The sequence below is a fragment of the Homo sapiens genome, chromosome 5 (genome assembly GCF_000001405.40).
Source record: "Homo sapiens chromosome 5, GRCh38.p14 Primary Assembly".
In the NCBI taxonomy this organism is placed as follows: Eukaryota; Metazoa; Chordata; class Mammalia; order Primates; family Hominidae; genus Homo; species Homo sapiens.
In genome coordinates, this window is record NC_000005.10 from 33,607,882 (window position 1) to 33,623,801 (window position 15,920).

Below are 15,920 nucleotides of genomic sequence, written 5' to 3' on the forward strand. Positions count from 1 at the left end.
AAGATTTTTAAAGAGAAAGAACTAGATAAGGAATTTTAATACTAACACATATATAAAGCTGCAAAAATTAGAGAACTAGATCAATGCAACAGAATAGGAGCTGGGAAATAGACCCACACCTATAAGCAAATTGGATAAATGCCAGTGAAAGAGCTTCCAGATGGCTGAACACATGGAAGTTCCTGGAGGGTGGAGCACCCAGAGGGGGCATGGAAGCTCTATCACCTTTCCACACACTTTGCCCTATGCATCTCTTCATCTGTTTCCTTTGTAACATTCTTTAGAATAAACCAGTAAGTAGCACTGTGCCACACCTGGGAAGGAGGAAAGACACACAAAAAGCATCAAGCACAGAACCTGTCATCCAGGAGTTTACAATCTGGCAAAGGAGATAAGACGTGCACACAAATATTATAATTAAAATTACAAGTCGGCAAATAATCAGAGGTAGATGAAGACAGAGTTCGATCATTTTAACAATAGAATTCTGTGCTTTAAAAACCAAGCTAATAAGATTTTAATGACTACAATTCCTAAAAAGTTGGGTCTTTTTACAGATGTGCTTACAAAACTGGATGGAAAAAGGAAAACAGAAGAGAATCATCACTTATCACGCTTAGAGTTCTCACAGATGGGATACAGTGAGTTTGTTGAGATGCAGTTCCTTTGACTCTCTGATAGTGGCAAAGCATCACACAGCTGCCCCAGAGAAGCCACAATGAACCCACCTTTTCACGTGCAACTGCAGGAACAAGAGGAAAGAAAACCAGTTCCACCCAGAGGTACAGACAAAGAAAAGCACCCTCCCAAGGAGCCTGAATGGTAAGTGACCATGGAGAGCATCACTCGGTCAGAAAGGCAGGTGAGTTATTAGCTTAGTCCCGGCCCTCCTATTTAATGCAGGACAGTGGTGATGTTTAACAAACCCTGGCTGTGGTGATAAGCCTCGGATCTGATGGAGGAAATCCAATTGAAAAGCAGCCAAGGGAAACAAGAAGCTAGAAACAGATGTTCCAGCTACTAGGATGCGCGCATATTTAACCTGAATTACATGTAGGTGGGGTGGGATGAGAGCATTCATTTCTAAGTACTGTCTAGAGATTTCACTTCCTCCCCCATACAGATATTGTCAAGTGCAGTTATAGCCATCCACATTAGTTTTGTCAAATTCTCAGCAATTTCTTTAAAATAAGGTATTAAAATAATAACAGCTTTAAAAGTGCCAACAAGGAGGGGTTGTCATATTAAATAAATGTGGTTGGAATAATTGATTATTCCTAAGGAAACTGGATTCCTACTTTACACCTCACACAAAAAATAAGTTTAGGTGGGTTAAACTCCCTATGTGAAATTCAAAATCTAAAACTTTTAGAAGAAAATATAGGATCATATCTACATATAGGATAGAAAAGTATTTTTAGTTAAGACACCGAAAGCACAAACTTTAAAGGGAAAACACACAAAATTCATTATATTAAAAATTTAACTTTTTTTTTTTTTTTTTTTGGAGAGAGGTTCTCACTCTGTTGCCCAGGCTGGAGTGCAGTGGCAGGATCTTGGCTCACTGCAGCCTCAACCTCCTGGGCTCAAGTAATCCTCATGCCTCAGCCCCCACAGTAGCTGGGACTACAGGCGCCCACCACCACCACACCTGGCTAAGTTTTGTATTTGTTGTAGAGACAGAGTTTCACCATGTTGTCCAGGCTGATCTCAAAATCCTGGGCACAAGTGACTTCCTGCCTCACAAAGTGTAATATTTCTACTTAATATGAGTTCTGCTTAATGTAAATAAGTCAACGTAAACAAAGTTTAAAAGACAAGGCAAAGACTAGAACAGAGACTTGCAACATTTTTGGTTCATATTGCCCTTCATGTTTCAGTCATTTTTCTTGTGGCCTCTATGCAAAATAAAACATTTAACAGTTCCATTCATTAAATAATTCAGTCTTAATAAAGATTTATGGTCCAACAACTTAGTAGCCATCTGAAAAAATAATACATATAAATTGAAAAACAGGCCAGGCATGGTGGCTCATGCCTGTAATTGCAGCACTTTGGGAGGCCAAAGTGGGCGGATCACCTGAGGTCAGGAGCTCGAGACCCGCCTGACCAACATGGAGAAACCCCGTCTCTACTAAAAATACAAAATTAGCCAGGCATGGTGGCGCATGCCTGTAATCCCAGCTACTCGGGAGGCTGAGACAAGAGAGAATCACTTGAACCTGGGAGGTGGAGGTTGCGGTGAGCCGAGATTGAGCCATTGTGCTCCAGCCTGTTCAACAAGAATGAAACTCTGTCTCAAACAAACGAACAACAACAGCAACAACAAAAAAGAAAAACAAAATAGTATTTTTGTTTCATTTTAAATTGACTTGATGAGGTGTGTGCCTCTATTGGATACTGTACAACTTTTCAAATCTTGGAATGAGACACCATATTTCCGGTTTCACATCGATTTTCAGGAGGTACTTGATTTTTTAATCACAGCAACCACTGAAAAACCAGTTTCACAAACATAGAATGTCATTGAAAAGAATGTAGTATGACCTAACCTTGAACTACCTCGAGCAGGTAGTAGACACATGATGTCCAAGAAATGTTAACTCCTGCTGTGTTTCCCTTTAACATTTCATTGTTTCCCTGGAAAATTTAAAATATTCCACGGCACCCTATGAGTTCACAGATTTACTCCTATGATATGGAGACTGTATGACCTAGGCATTTTACTTTTAGGTAGACATATTAAAGAAGCCCAAATACGGAGGTAATGAGGGAATAATCATAAGGCATTCATTACAGAATTGCAGAAATATTTATAGCTGCAAAATAGTAGCATGTATAAATAAATCATGATATATTCACGGAACGGAATAGTACACAACCCTTAAAATAAATGTATGAGAGACTGGGCACAGTGGCTCATGCCTGTAATTCCAGCACTTTGGGAGGCTGAGGCAGGTGGATCACTTGAGGTTGGGAGTTTGAGACCAGCCTGGCCAACATGGTGAAACCCTGTCTCTACTAAAAATACAAAAATTAGCTGGATGTGATGGTGCATGCCTGTAATCTCAGCTACTCAGGAGGCTGAGGCAAGAGATCGCTCGAACCCAGAGGTAGAAGTTTCAGTGAGCCAAGATCGTGCCATCCCACTCCAGCCTGGGTGACAGAAAAAAAAAGTACTAGAGCTACTTTAATCAATGTGGATTTACCTCAAAAGCATAATGTTGAGGGAAAAAAAAGACAAAGCATGGTATAGTGCATATGATACTATTTGCAGAAAGCTTAAATGCCTGAGAAACAATCCTATATAATGTGTATGGCTATACATATGCATAGTAAAAGTATTTAACCATATACATGAGAATAATAAACACTAGTTTCACGACCCTAGTTAACCCTGGGGAAAAAGTGAAGGAAGTGGATGTGGAATGCGCTTCTTGATTGTAGCTGTGGGACTTTTTTTTTTTTTGTCTTTAATAGTAAAGATTGAAACAAAATGGTAAGAGCAATAAAGCTGAGTGGTTAGTACAAAGGAATTTGTTACTACATTCTCTATTTTGCTAATATGTTTGAAATGTTTCTCAGTAAAACGAAAATAACACAATAATTAAAAAAATAAAATGATTGCTGCCACCTATTTGTAACCCATTTACTATGGAAATCAATTTGGCAATAAGTTAATATTATCTGGTAATTTGGTATAAGTCAATTATCAGAATATTTATATTCTTTGAACCTAGAAATTTCACACAGAAATTAAAACTGAGGAGACCATTTTTTTACACAGGTCCCTAAATGCTCATCAGAAGAACAGCAATAAGGAATTGGTTAAGGAAATTTTACTTTATCTTTTCAGCAAATTAAATGCATCCTTAAAATTGATAGCTATGAAGATTATCTAACACATGAAAAAGTATCCGTATTGTGATAAGTGAAAATATGTGTGTAATGTACATAAATGCATCCATATACACACACCTATATACATCTATGATTAGAAAAAAATGCACTGAAAGGAAAGAAAAGCAAAGTAGCAAAAGTGCATGTGTTAGAGTGGTGACAATTTTTCATGTTTCAGTAATGTGTTTAACTTACTTTTACAGTGTAGAAAGTTTTAGCCTAAATAAAATAAAAATCCATCACTGAATGATTCAGTGTTTCAGGCAACCTTCCAATGTTACATTTAGCAATGTGTGTCCTGTGTGAATAATAGCATTTCATTCTCTATGTTTGAGAGTATTACAGTAGATATGCTGCTGTCTTTCTCCTTTGCCAGAGTAAGATTCGCCCTCACTCAAACAAACAGTGTGGCTGAAGTTCAGGTGAGCATGTGAGCATTGTGATCTTTCCCATTAAGGCTTAGTAATCAGAGTGACATTTACCTAGGTAGGTGGAAGTGCTGCTGAAGGCTTAGGCTGTAACAAAACCAAATGTCTGATTTACATCTGGTGAGAATGTCCAATTTCCTAGCTGACTTCAGATGTCTTTTTATGATCACTGCACACATCAGCCACTTATCTCTTGATTCCTGATGTTCTGAAATATTGTGTGTGTGATGCAAAGGGTCCATTCTATCTTGAAACAGAAGTGAGTGGAGGATGTTCTCTTGTTTCTTTCAGGAGTCCCTGCCATCAGCACTGGCTGTTTCATTCCATGGTGCCCTGAGACAAATGACTTAGAGCTTAAACTTGTACTTCATAGAAAGATGAGAACAAAGGGGATGACAAATCAACAAAGTATTTATATCTATAGTCACAATGACTTCATTTTCCTCCTGTTGCTCCTCAAGGGAAATTTTTTTCACCCACTTATTTTCTGCTTAAATTGCCTTCACCTAACTCCAAGCCCAGTCCCCGACCCTGAGCAGTGGTGGGCAGTATGTTTGGAAATGCTAGAGGCAGTGGTAGGAATGGCAGGACTGACTCTCCTATCAACACCACTCATGGCTGCTGCCACAGACTGCACCTTTGACCTTGATAGATTTCCAGAGGGTTAGTTAGCATTGTTAAATATCACATAATTTAATTTTATTCTTATGAATTCTAAAAGCTAACCTTGGCTTTCTGTGCTGAAATGGGGAAAGAAAGAAGTTGATAATACAAAAATTGTTTATAAGGTTGATGGTGCACAACTCTCAGGGGTGGGAAAGCCAGTGCAGGTGCTGCAGAGACCTGGTATGTGAGAGGGAAGCCTGTGGGAGAGTAGGCCATGGTCTTCTGCTCCATTCACTTGCTTCAGTTTTCTTCCCTTTTGCTACATCACCAATTCTGGCACATCACTCTGCAGCTGTCCTAGTTTTGCAGGTTGCAGTTACAGCCTAGAGGCAAGAAGTTTCAGAACAGACTTGGACGTGACCCAAAGGAGAAAGAGAGGTAGAGGCTTTTGCATATGGCAATATTACTAAAGCCCCCTAAATGAGTGATATAGCCCCAAGTATTCAGCAGGCCCTGACCCCTGCCTTCACAGGGCTTGGGAAAGTTCATCCAGCACTGCAGCAGAGATTCCATGCTCCTCAAATGTCCACGTACCCCTCCATAATTGCCAGCCTCCCTTTGCAGTTAGATGGTGCCCATGTGACTAACGCCAACCAACGAGATGTGAGTGGAAGTGACTTGCAGCACTTCCAGGCCAAGGCTGTCAACAGAGCCAGGGTGCCTCTCCCATCTTTCTTTCCTTACGGGGCAAGCTGGAAGCCATGTGTTTTGTATGTCTTATGTAGGAAATGAAGCAGAGTCTTCTAACCTGCTTCAGGCATACAGTGGGTTAAAAATCAACCTTCATTGTGTTGAATTACTAAGATTTCAATTTTTTTGTTCTTGTGGCAGAACTTATCCCATCCTGACTAGTACATGGCAGCAAGTGAATCTCTCCAGTGCTTGATTTTGTGAGAGTAAGCTACTCCTCTGCTATATGTATAAAAATGAATAAACAGGAGATGGAGAAAGAGCACTGGGTTAGGAATCAGAAGAGCTGGTTGTGGTTTGAATTTGGCCATGATTTATGGTACACATTTGAGGAGTTGTTCCACTTTTGTGGTCTTCAGGTTCTCAACCAGAGCATTGGTTGTTAATGCTTTTTGTTTGACACGTAATGAAACATTCAAACAAAGGTTTTACTGAAAACTTTTATCAACTTTTTTATCAGCTCTATAAAAGGCCAGTATATAGAGCTGATAAAAGAAAAACTGCCTCTCTTCAAACCATGCCCATGTTCACTGTCCGCAGAGGCCCCTGGCCATCTCAGTGGAGCCCTGCAGATCCATGGGCAGAGAGCACAAAGCAAATCACTGGTGTAATCACCTCTACAAACTGCTCTGAGGCTGGCATGGCTTCATAGTGAGAGCAGCTGTTTCTCACCTGTCCCGCAGGTCACACTGCACTCTGTCCAGTGGCCGTACTGCCAGAAGTACATCTGCTGCTCAACATCATTGTCAAGGCCATCTTTCTGGATTGTGTACTCATACTTGATGCCAGGGTTAGTCACCTGGAATAGAAGCTAAAAGGCAAGAGAGGGGTCATGTCAAACTGTCATGACTTTATACCATAAGCCAGTCATGTAAAAACACCACAAAATGTCAGTCATCTAAAATTAGTAATGGGAGCATGCATTGGAATAAAGCCATTAAATAGATCTATACCTATGTCTGTGCCTATGTCTATACCTATGTCTGTGTCTAAGTTCATATCTATATATCTACATCTACCTCTATAGCTATATATTTTCCATCTAATTAGTTCTTGGCTGGATTCCCATGGGAATTTCAGTTCACATAAATGAGGAGATCAAATCATATGGGGAGTACTCTGTGGAAATGGCAAGGAGTATCCTTTCCAACAATAGGCCGATAGGTTACTTTGTGTTCTTATGCACTTACCAGCTTTGTGAATATAGGTAAGTGCCACAGTTTGCCCATATACAAAGTGGGGATAATAAATAGTGCCTATTTGTAGGATTGTTGTGAGGGTTAAATGAGTAAACACATGGAAAGTGGTTAGAACAGTGGCTCAGCGAATGTTAACTTGTATTATGTTTGTTATTGTTGTCTTACGATGGCTTTCCCTACCTCTCAGGCTACTCAGTATCTTTAACAAATAGTAGTTCTGAGCTAACAATGGTCATGGACTTTAACTTAGGTATGCTGCTCTTGGGATCTTCCCCTTACTTCCCTCTCATGCAGGCAATCTACTTATCACATGTTTAAAATTGATTCACCTTAAACATAGAGGCATTGGATTGGTTGCTCCCTGGGACTGGGGATTCCCATGTGTTAATCCTTGCCTGTGTCAGAAGCAAAGTCTCCCGACACTCATGGATCACAACTGCCACGCTTGACCTTCAGCTTCTGTGAGTGCTCTGATCTCTGGCTCGAAAAGGATGTCTCTCTAACTTTAGACTGTGGCTGGATCTAACTCCTTGGCCATCTCTCATCCTCAATCTGCCTTGCTGCTATCGGTATATTCATTCCACTCCTTTTCTACAGTTCTGTGCCCAATATGAAAGATAAATTTCTTGGACCTTTGAAGAGCACATGTTGTATTCTAACTCCTCCTTCCAGCAAGAATTTCACAAAGCCAAATGCTTTGCTTGAGGACAACACAGAGTAACATGTCACTTTATCCCCACTGTTGGAAAGCTACTTGGAAACCCGTGCCACAATGACAATAGACTTCAGGAACAATCACCCTCAATTAAATCAGCCCAGAAGCTGAACTCAAACCTCCCAGTGGGTGGTTTTAAAGCACCTTGCATTTTGTTATGGGGGTTTCAGCAATATCTAGGCAATAAAGGATTAACAGCACAAACTAATATCTCATTCCCCTCCCTGCTCCTTGCTAAAAGAGGTTTTAAAGATTCTGACTTAATGTCCCCTAGCAAGTACCTTGGGGAAAAAGGAGAAGTATTCTAACTAGCACACATGTCAGCAGTTTCCCTCCTTTCTGCATTACCTGGATCCACACAGACTCATTGGTGGGACCTGTGGCCATCAGCTTTTCCAGGTCTCCTTTCCTGTCATACTGAAAGACAGTCCCTGCCAGCTTATAGTTCCCGTTCCACTGGATAATAAACCCTCCATTCAGGTAATATTTTTCAGGATCTTCACTCCTGATGGCCAGGAAGTTTCCAGCTCCCTCAATTTCCATCACTCTTATGTCCCTTGCTCCTTTTGGAATGAGCCCAATGTCAACATAACCTAAAGAGAGAAGACACAATCATGAAAGAGGCACGCCAGCTTCTCAGCTGAATGCAATCTGTTTGTGACCCACTGTTAATCCTCTTTCCAGCCTCCCCATCATTTAGTGACCTTGCTGGGTGGCCACTGGAATTGGCAGAAGCACTACTTATGGGGGATTTTCGAGAACTTGGACACGAACAGAATTCTCAGGAGTTTTGTGACTCAATATGTGCCCAGTTTTGTAAGGAGAGGTGAAATAAGAGCAGATTGGACTCTGAAGCTTTTGTGGTTGATCTAGCATTTATTTTTCTGTAATTTTATGTTGATACTTCAAAACCCTAAAGCTCCTTGCTAGCTTCCTGCTAGTATCTCTGCTTCCCCCTTTGTTGCTACTATTACATTAGACTTCCTGAACATTGCATTGGATACATACTTTTCCTCACCCCCCTTGCCAGCAGGTTAAAGACAGACTCTTAGAAGTAATGTAATCCTAGCTTCCATTCATTAAGAAAATCCTGGAGGGAATCTCAGATTGTTTGCCACCTGGCTATCTTGAATACAGCCTATGATGAGGAACTCAACTCTGAGTACAGCCTTTTATACTGTTGGACGATTCTATTCATTAGAAAGTTTTCTTTCTCATTTTTTCTTTTATATATCACTGAAATAGGAACTTATAATTTATTCTCTTGTGTTCTAATTCAGCCTTCTGAAAAAGCATCATAGGTTGACATTTACTTAAAGATAACAATCAACTCCAGCCACAGTCTTATTATTCCTGTTTAATGGTCATTATGGTAAGAGGCATACTGGTGAAAAAATTAACACTTAATGGTTGCCAGTGTTTGCCAAGCTCTATGCTAAACATTTTATGCATTCACTTTCTTTATGATTCTTGAGAACCATTCCCTAATAAAATGGAAAGAACATGGACTTGGAGGTTGGCATTGCGAAAGGAATTCTGGGGCAATGGGAGTTGAAAGACTTGCATTCTAGTCTCTGCGTTTCTGCAAATCAGCTCTATGAGTTTCATTGATTCATCTAACTTCTTTGAATCTCATTGCACAGAAGGGGATTGAATGATGACGTCTGCGGTCCCTCTCAGCTCTAATAGTGAGTGATTTTTCTCTTTTGCAAGTTAACTATTCTTTGTTCTTTCAACTTTTTTTTTTTTTTAAATATAAAATACAGTTTTAAGACATTGATGATCTTGGTTATTTTTCCACTGGATATGCACTACGTTATTTGGTCTGATGAGCAAGCCCTTCCTCTTTGTCACCTGAAAGTGCCTCAATTTCTTCATCTTCCTCTGGCGCTAAAGAAGTATGGGGTCCTAGGGGTCAAACTGTGGCCTGTCCAGCAAGAATAATTTGCTCTGAAACTGGATACAGATCACAACCTCTGCCTCATTTTTCAAATTGGCAGCTCTCATCCAGAGGAACAAAAATGTGGTTTGCGTAGTATTTAATTAAGTTCCATTTGGCTCTCAAACACTTGCCTAGAACAGCTGATTAAAACCACTAATGTATGACCACCTCCGGGAAGATATTGATCACATGTAATCGAGGCTAATGGTTTTAAAAAATAAATGCCCTCCGAGTGTTGCTATCTGCAGTCATTTTCATACTTAGGATGTTGCATGCCTTTTCATATCAGAGCTCATGCAGGTAAATGAACTGGTATGAAATACTGTGTCTACCACCTTGCTCCTTGCTTTTAAAAAATAAAAACCTAAATAGAAAAAAAAAACAATAAATAACAGTGTTTGCTTTTTATTCTTCCACTTAAGAGAGAAAATCCAAAACTAGAAATATTTATTATGGGTAGATTGAAAGAGGCATATTTAACTTACTGCTTCTGAATAGCTTGTAGATAAAAGAAGGACCAGTAAGAATAGCTCCAAAGTACAAGTGGCCCTTAAACAACACAGGGGTTAGGGCACTGAGCCCCTACGCAAGTAAAAATATTTGTGTATAATTTTTGACTATCTCCAAACTTAACAACTTGACCAGAAGCTCTACCAATAACATCAACAGTCCACTAATACATATTTTTTGTGTTATATGCATTATATATTGAATTCTTATGATAAAGTAAGCTAGAGAAAATAAAATGTTAAGAAATTCATGATGAAATGTATTTACTATTCATTAAGCAGAAGTGGATCCTCATAAAGACCTTCATCCTTGTTGTCTTCATGTTGAGTAGGCTGAGGAGGAAAACGAAGAGGAGGGGTTGATTTTTCTCTCAGGTAGAAGAGGTGGAGGAAGTGGAGATGGAGGAAGAGAGGCAGACACATTCAGTGAAACTTTGCAGAAATTCATTGCAATTTCTGTCTGACATTTTGCTTTTTCATTTCTCTAAAAGTGTTCTATATGGTACTAATCCTTCTTCCACCATTTGCTTTAGTTTCAGTGTCTGTATCACAGAAGAGTCCATGTCATATAAGAAATCAAAAGCAGTCTTGAGTAATCAGAACCCTTCTGTTAGACTGTCCAATGTCTATTTGTTTTCTGGCACTGTTTCTTCTCCATCTTCTTTCTGGGACAGTCGTCTGGTCCTGGTTCGGAAGCACTCTCTTCATCAATTTGTCTTCTGTTAATTCCCCTGGTGTGGTGTCTAGCAACTCTTGAATTTCTCCAAAATCCATATCTTGAAACCCTTCACCCCTGCCTTTCTCACATATTCACAATCTCTTTCACGATTTCCTTGATTGTCTCTGTTACAAGTTCTGTGAAGCCATCCACAACATTGGGACACAGTTTTCTCCAGCAGAAATTTACTCTTGGGCTTGATGGCTTTCATGGCATTTTCTAGGACAATGGCATCTTCAACGTTGTAATCCTTCCAGACTTTCATGACGTTTCTGTCAGCGTTCTCTTCCATAATGTTGACACTCCTTTCCAAAGAGTATTGGGTGTAATGAGCATAAAAGATCCTTATGACCCTCTGGTCTAGAGGCTGAATTAGAGACATTTTGTTTCTGGGCAAGTAGGTCACTTTGATGCCTTTGGTGCTGAGTTCATGGGTAGCCAGGGGCATTGTTCAATATCAAAAGAACTTCAAAAGGCAGTTCCTTACTGGCAAGGTACTTCCTGACTTTATGGACAAAGCATCAATGCATCCAATTCAGAAGAAGCATTCTCATTGTCCAGGCCTTCTCCTTGTACAACCAAAAGACTGGCAGCTTGTGTTTATCTTTTCCCTTCAAGGCTGTTACGTTAGCTCCTTTACAGATCATAAACCAGACTGTATTTGCATAAAACAATAGAGGTAGCCTATTCCTTCCTGCCTTAAATCTGGTATTCGTTTATCTTCTTTACTAGTAAAAGTCCTTTTTAGCATTTTTGCCCCACAATAGGGCACTTTCATCCACATTAAAAATCTGTTTAGGCAGATTTTTTTCTCTTCAAGGATTTTCTTAATGGCAGCTGGAGACTCATCTGATGTCTCTTGCAGAAGCTGCTTCTCCTGTTATCTTGACACTTTTAAAACCAAACCTCTTTCAAAAATTATCAAATCATACCTTACAGGTATTAAATTATCCAGCTTTAGGTCCCTCTCCTTCCTTTTGCTTTAAGTTGTCATATAATAACTTTGCTATGTATGTATGCATGTATGTATGTATGTATATATTTATTTATTTATTAATTTTTTTTGAGATGGAGTCTCGCTCTGTCACCAGGCTGGAGTGCAGTGGTGCGATCTGGGCTCACTGCAACCTCCGCCTCTTGGGTTCAAGCGATTCTCCTGCCTCAGCCTCCTGAGTAGCTGGGACTACCAGCGCGTGCCACCACACGCAGCTAATTTTTGTACTTTTAGTAGAGACAGGGTTTCACCACGTTGGCCAGGATGGTCTCGATCTCTTGACCTCGTGATCTGCCCTCCTCGGCCTCCCAAAGTGTTGGGATTACAGGCGTGAGCCACTGCATCCGGCCAATGACTTTGCTTTATGCTGAATCATATCAGAGTCTATAGGTATGGTATGCCTTTCCTATAGCAGTCCTGCACCGATGTGAAAGCTACATGAAAGATAAAAAGTTTCACAAAAAGTGCAAGGTCTTTGTACCTGCTGGCATAGCTGTAGTGATGGCTTTACAAATTTCCTTTTCTACACTAGATTCATTTATCTTGAAGTAGCAGACAGCTATAGCTGCAGACCTTATGGTACATATCAAGCAATTCAACTTTTTCCTGTAATGTCATGACTTTTCTCTGCTTCTTGGGAGCATTTCCAGCATCACTAGTGGCACTTTGTATGAATCCCATGGTGTTATTCAAGGTTTATGGTATTGTGCTAAACACAATGAAAAATATTCAAGAATTGCAGGAGATCACTTTTTACTGTGATACACAATTTACTGGACAAATATCCTCACATGGAAATGATTAGCATCACACAGCGTTTTAAACAGATATTTGCAACACTTGAGCTCACCACAATAGCAAGAGGAGGTGGCTATGAAATTATTCTGGTAGTACAGTATTACTACAGTCACTTTTATGCAGTTATGATTTAATACTGCATCTTTGGTTTGTTTACACTTCTCTCAACTGCAAATGGTGCCATGTGTGGCCTGTAAGTGTTTGTGTTCATAAGTTTTAATAGATTTTTAACTTTTTATAATAGATTTGTGTATATTTTATGGTAGTAAATGATAAAAAAGACTAATATCTACATATATTTTATGCACTCATGGCATACCTTTTTCTTAATTTTTCTGATGTGTCTAGGCTACACAGTTCATCTGTGAGTTTTCTCAAATTGTCACAAAAATCTCCAAAACATTTTTCAATGTATTTATTGAAAAACATCCTCATACTAAGTGGACTCATTTGGTTCGACCCCGTGTTATTCAAGGGTCAACTGTATTAAGAATGATGACTATATTTGCTTAGCAAATCAATTTTCTTGCATCTTCGCCAGTGGAAGCATTAGCTGCTTGCACCAGTATAAGGGGAAGAGGAGGAACATAATTTTGACCTCAAACAAGAAGTCTCTGGGTCCAAGGAGACCACCTGGAGAAACTATTCCATCACTATCCCAGTCTTGAGCACATTGAGCTGAAAGAATACTCAGGATGCCTGTAATCCCAGCATTTTGGGAGGCCGAGATGGGTGGATCATGAGGTCAGGAGTTTGAGACCAGCCTGGCCAATATGGTGAAACTCCATTTCTACTAAAAAAATACAAAAATTAGCCAGGCGTGGTGTCACGCACCTGTAATCCCAGCTACCAGGGAGGCTGAGGCAGGAGAATTGCTTGAACCCAGGAGGCAGAGATTGCAGTGAGCCTAGATCATACCACTGCACTCCAGCCTGGGTGACACAGCAAGACTCCATCTCAAAAAAAAAAAAAAAAAAAAGAATATTCAGGATGTTTGAGGATGCGGCAAAAGATAGGCCCTCATTTCTGAGATTCTGATAAGAGACATCATACATTATTGATGCTAACACACATCTTATCCAACTGTTTTTGTGGTCCACAAAAACGGACTTTACTCACTGGCATATTTGGTCTCCAGTCTTTGACATTTCTAATAAAAATGTGCTCATAAAGAGGTTATACCATTAACCCTGGGCAACTTATCTACAGTGGTCAGCTTGTCTTTTTAAAGATTTATGCTGTCCATTTGAGACAATGCTCACTGCAGGCCAATATCTCATGATTGATGTGTGGAGGCTCCTGGGAAATGCTGGTCCATGTCTGATCCCAGGCTTGAGAGCAGTGACACATAGGTGTCTGGTTCAGATACAAACCAGTGTTTGACAGGCTCACAAACCACAGAGTGAGGAAGAAATATATAAAAATAACAGTACCTGGTATATGTTTTGAGAAGTTAAAATGCCTTGCCTTAGATTAAGACTCTTAGTCTCAGTTATCTCAAAAGAGGGTTGTGAGATAATTGGAATCTTGTAACACACTGCGAGCAACCATGACCCTCTTGTTAGAAGCTGGTGGAAAGGAATTGTAGGAAGGGGACATGGGAGAAAGAGAATGGAAAACACAAAGGCACAGGGAGATGTCAAATGCTCAGTGGTGGGCATGTGGCTAGAGGTATTGAGATCTTGGAGGCAGGAAGGGGTAGGGGTAACAGGGGAGCAGAAGACATTTATAATCCCTCTTTCTCATTCCCAAGAGACCAGGGCAGAGGAAAGAACCCAGAATTAGAGTTGGATTTCCTAAGGGATTACAAGGTTAAGTGGAAGAGACCTGGGGACAACAACTCTGGTTTTCAATTGAGTTATCATAATATTAGAAGAACAGCACCTCAGAGGCCAAGATAGGAACTCATAAAGAAAATTAAATAAAACAGGTTAGCTGGTCCCAGTGGCTCATGCCTGTAATCCCAGCACTTTGGGAAGCTGAGGTGGGTGGATCACGAGGTCAAGAGATCAAGACCATCCTGGCCAATATGGTGAAACTCCGTCTCTACTAAAAATACAAAAATTATCTGGGTGTGCTGGCGTGCACCTGTAGTCCCAGCTACTCGGGAGGCTGAGGCAGAAGAATTGCTTGAACCCAGCAGCAGAGGTTGCAGTGAGCTGAGATTGCAGCACTGCACTCCACCCTGGCGACAGGGCGAGACTCCGTCTCAAAAAAACAAAAACAGAAACAAAAACGAAAAAACAGGTTAAATGCAGAAATACGATTTTAAGTGTAACTTTTTATAAGTAAGTAAAGCCACTATAAATAATGAAAAATATTTACAAAACACCTTTGTAAAGCTTGTAAAAACATTGGCTATCATAGGGTGCTTAATCATAAGCCTAAGACATACCGGTTATCATTCACATTCCAAATAAGTAATTCAGAGAGTATTTTTCATCCATAATAAAGCTATCAATCAAAGACATGAAATACAGTCTTCCAGTGGTAATTCTCATGGGCAGGACAAGCATTACATCTCACAACTTAAGCTTAGTAATCCAATAGTCAAAGATGAAAAATAGGGATGGAAATTAAATTTAGACTGTTTGCTGTTATGATTACTAGGGAACAATAGGTCATGTAATTAACTGAAGAACATACTTGATCCTCTCAGGATCCTACTCAGTAACTTCATCCTGGGTAGGAAGCATGTTTAGAAGAGAGATATTATTTTTCCAGGATCCAGGAAAACAGGGCTTTACCATCTCTCAAAGTGGCTATCACTTCCTGTCCTGGGCATCAACCCTGTGTAGCAGACACTGCCCCTCTCCCCTCAGGCCCTACTGCAATAGTGCATGATGGATTCCCTACTCCCAGCATCTCTATGGAATCCAGAGAATTAACAGTCCGATCTCCCTAGAGTAACCTCAACCCATGACTGGTGGAAAGTGGTGTATATTATCTCAATTCCTTCACCCCTCAGGTCGGGGAAACTCAGAGGTGCAAGATCTGCCATGGTTCCCATATAATGGTTCACCCTTTCTTAGCTGCCTTCCTTGGGAACTGACTCTTCCTTGGGGTCCACCCTTGAAGGTGAACTCTTCATGCCCTGAGGACTATCCATAGCCCAAAGCTGCACAGAGAAGAAACTCTGCAAAAGGTGACTATGGGAAAAGAATAGTAAAGCGTGGGTAAGAAGGGGATGCTAGGTGGAGGAGCTGTCTGGAAATTCATAAGGGACCAGTGGGTGGGACCCCCTCCCAGGGAGCAATTGGGAATAAACGAGATTTGATGCAACCCTGCCTTGCTTCTCTTTTGACTTTGAATTGAAGGTGCACCCCAATTCTTTTGCCTGTAAACCCATTGCTGGCTTCTG

The 15,920-nt window shown here is 40.4% G+C and overlaps 1 protein-coding gene across 7 annotated transcripts in view, besides 1 other annotated feature; it reads right to left on the reverse strand.

Annotated features, from left to right (window-relative positions):
• Positions 1 to 15,920, reverse strand: part of ADAMTS12 (ADAM metallopeptidase with thrombospondin type 1 motif 12) — a 368,456-nt gene that overhangs the window by 84,347 nt on the left and 268,189 nt on the right. For all 7 annotated transcript variants that reach the window (NM_001324512.2, NM_030955.4, XM_017009905.2 and 4 more), the window contains 2 exons: positions 7,947 to 8,191; positions 6,357 to 6,495 (listed from right to left, as the gene is read on the reverse strand). In NM_001324512.2, coding sequence (NP_001311441.1) covers positions 6,357 to 6,495; positions 7,947 to 8,191 — 384 coding nt within the window. The remainder of the gene's footprint in view (positions 1 to 6,356; positions 6,496 to 7,946; positions 8,192 to 15,920) is intronic.
• Positions 4,259 to 5,458: an enhancer, noted in NCBI's record as "BRD4-independent group 4 enhancer chr5:33612245-33613444 (GRCh37/hg19 assembly coordinates)". NCBI's record gives its function as "activates an origin of replication core promoter dependent on BRD2, P300/CBP, MED14 and CDK7 cofactors, and independent of BRD4, by STARR-seq in HCT116 cells {active_cell/tissue: HCT116}" and the evidence as "EXISTENCE:reporter gene assay evidence [ECO:0000049][PMID:35650434]".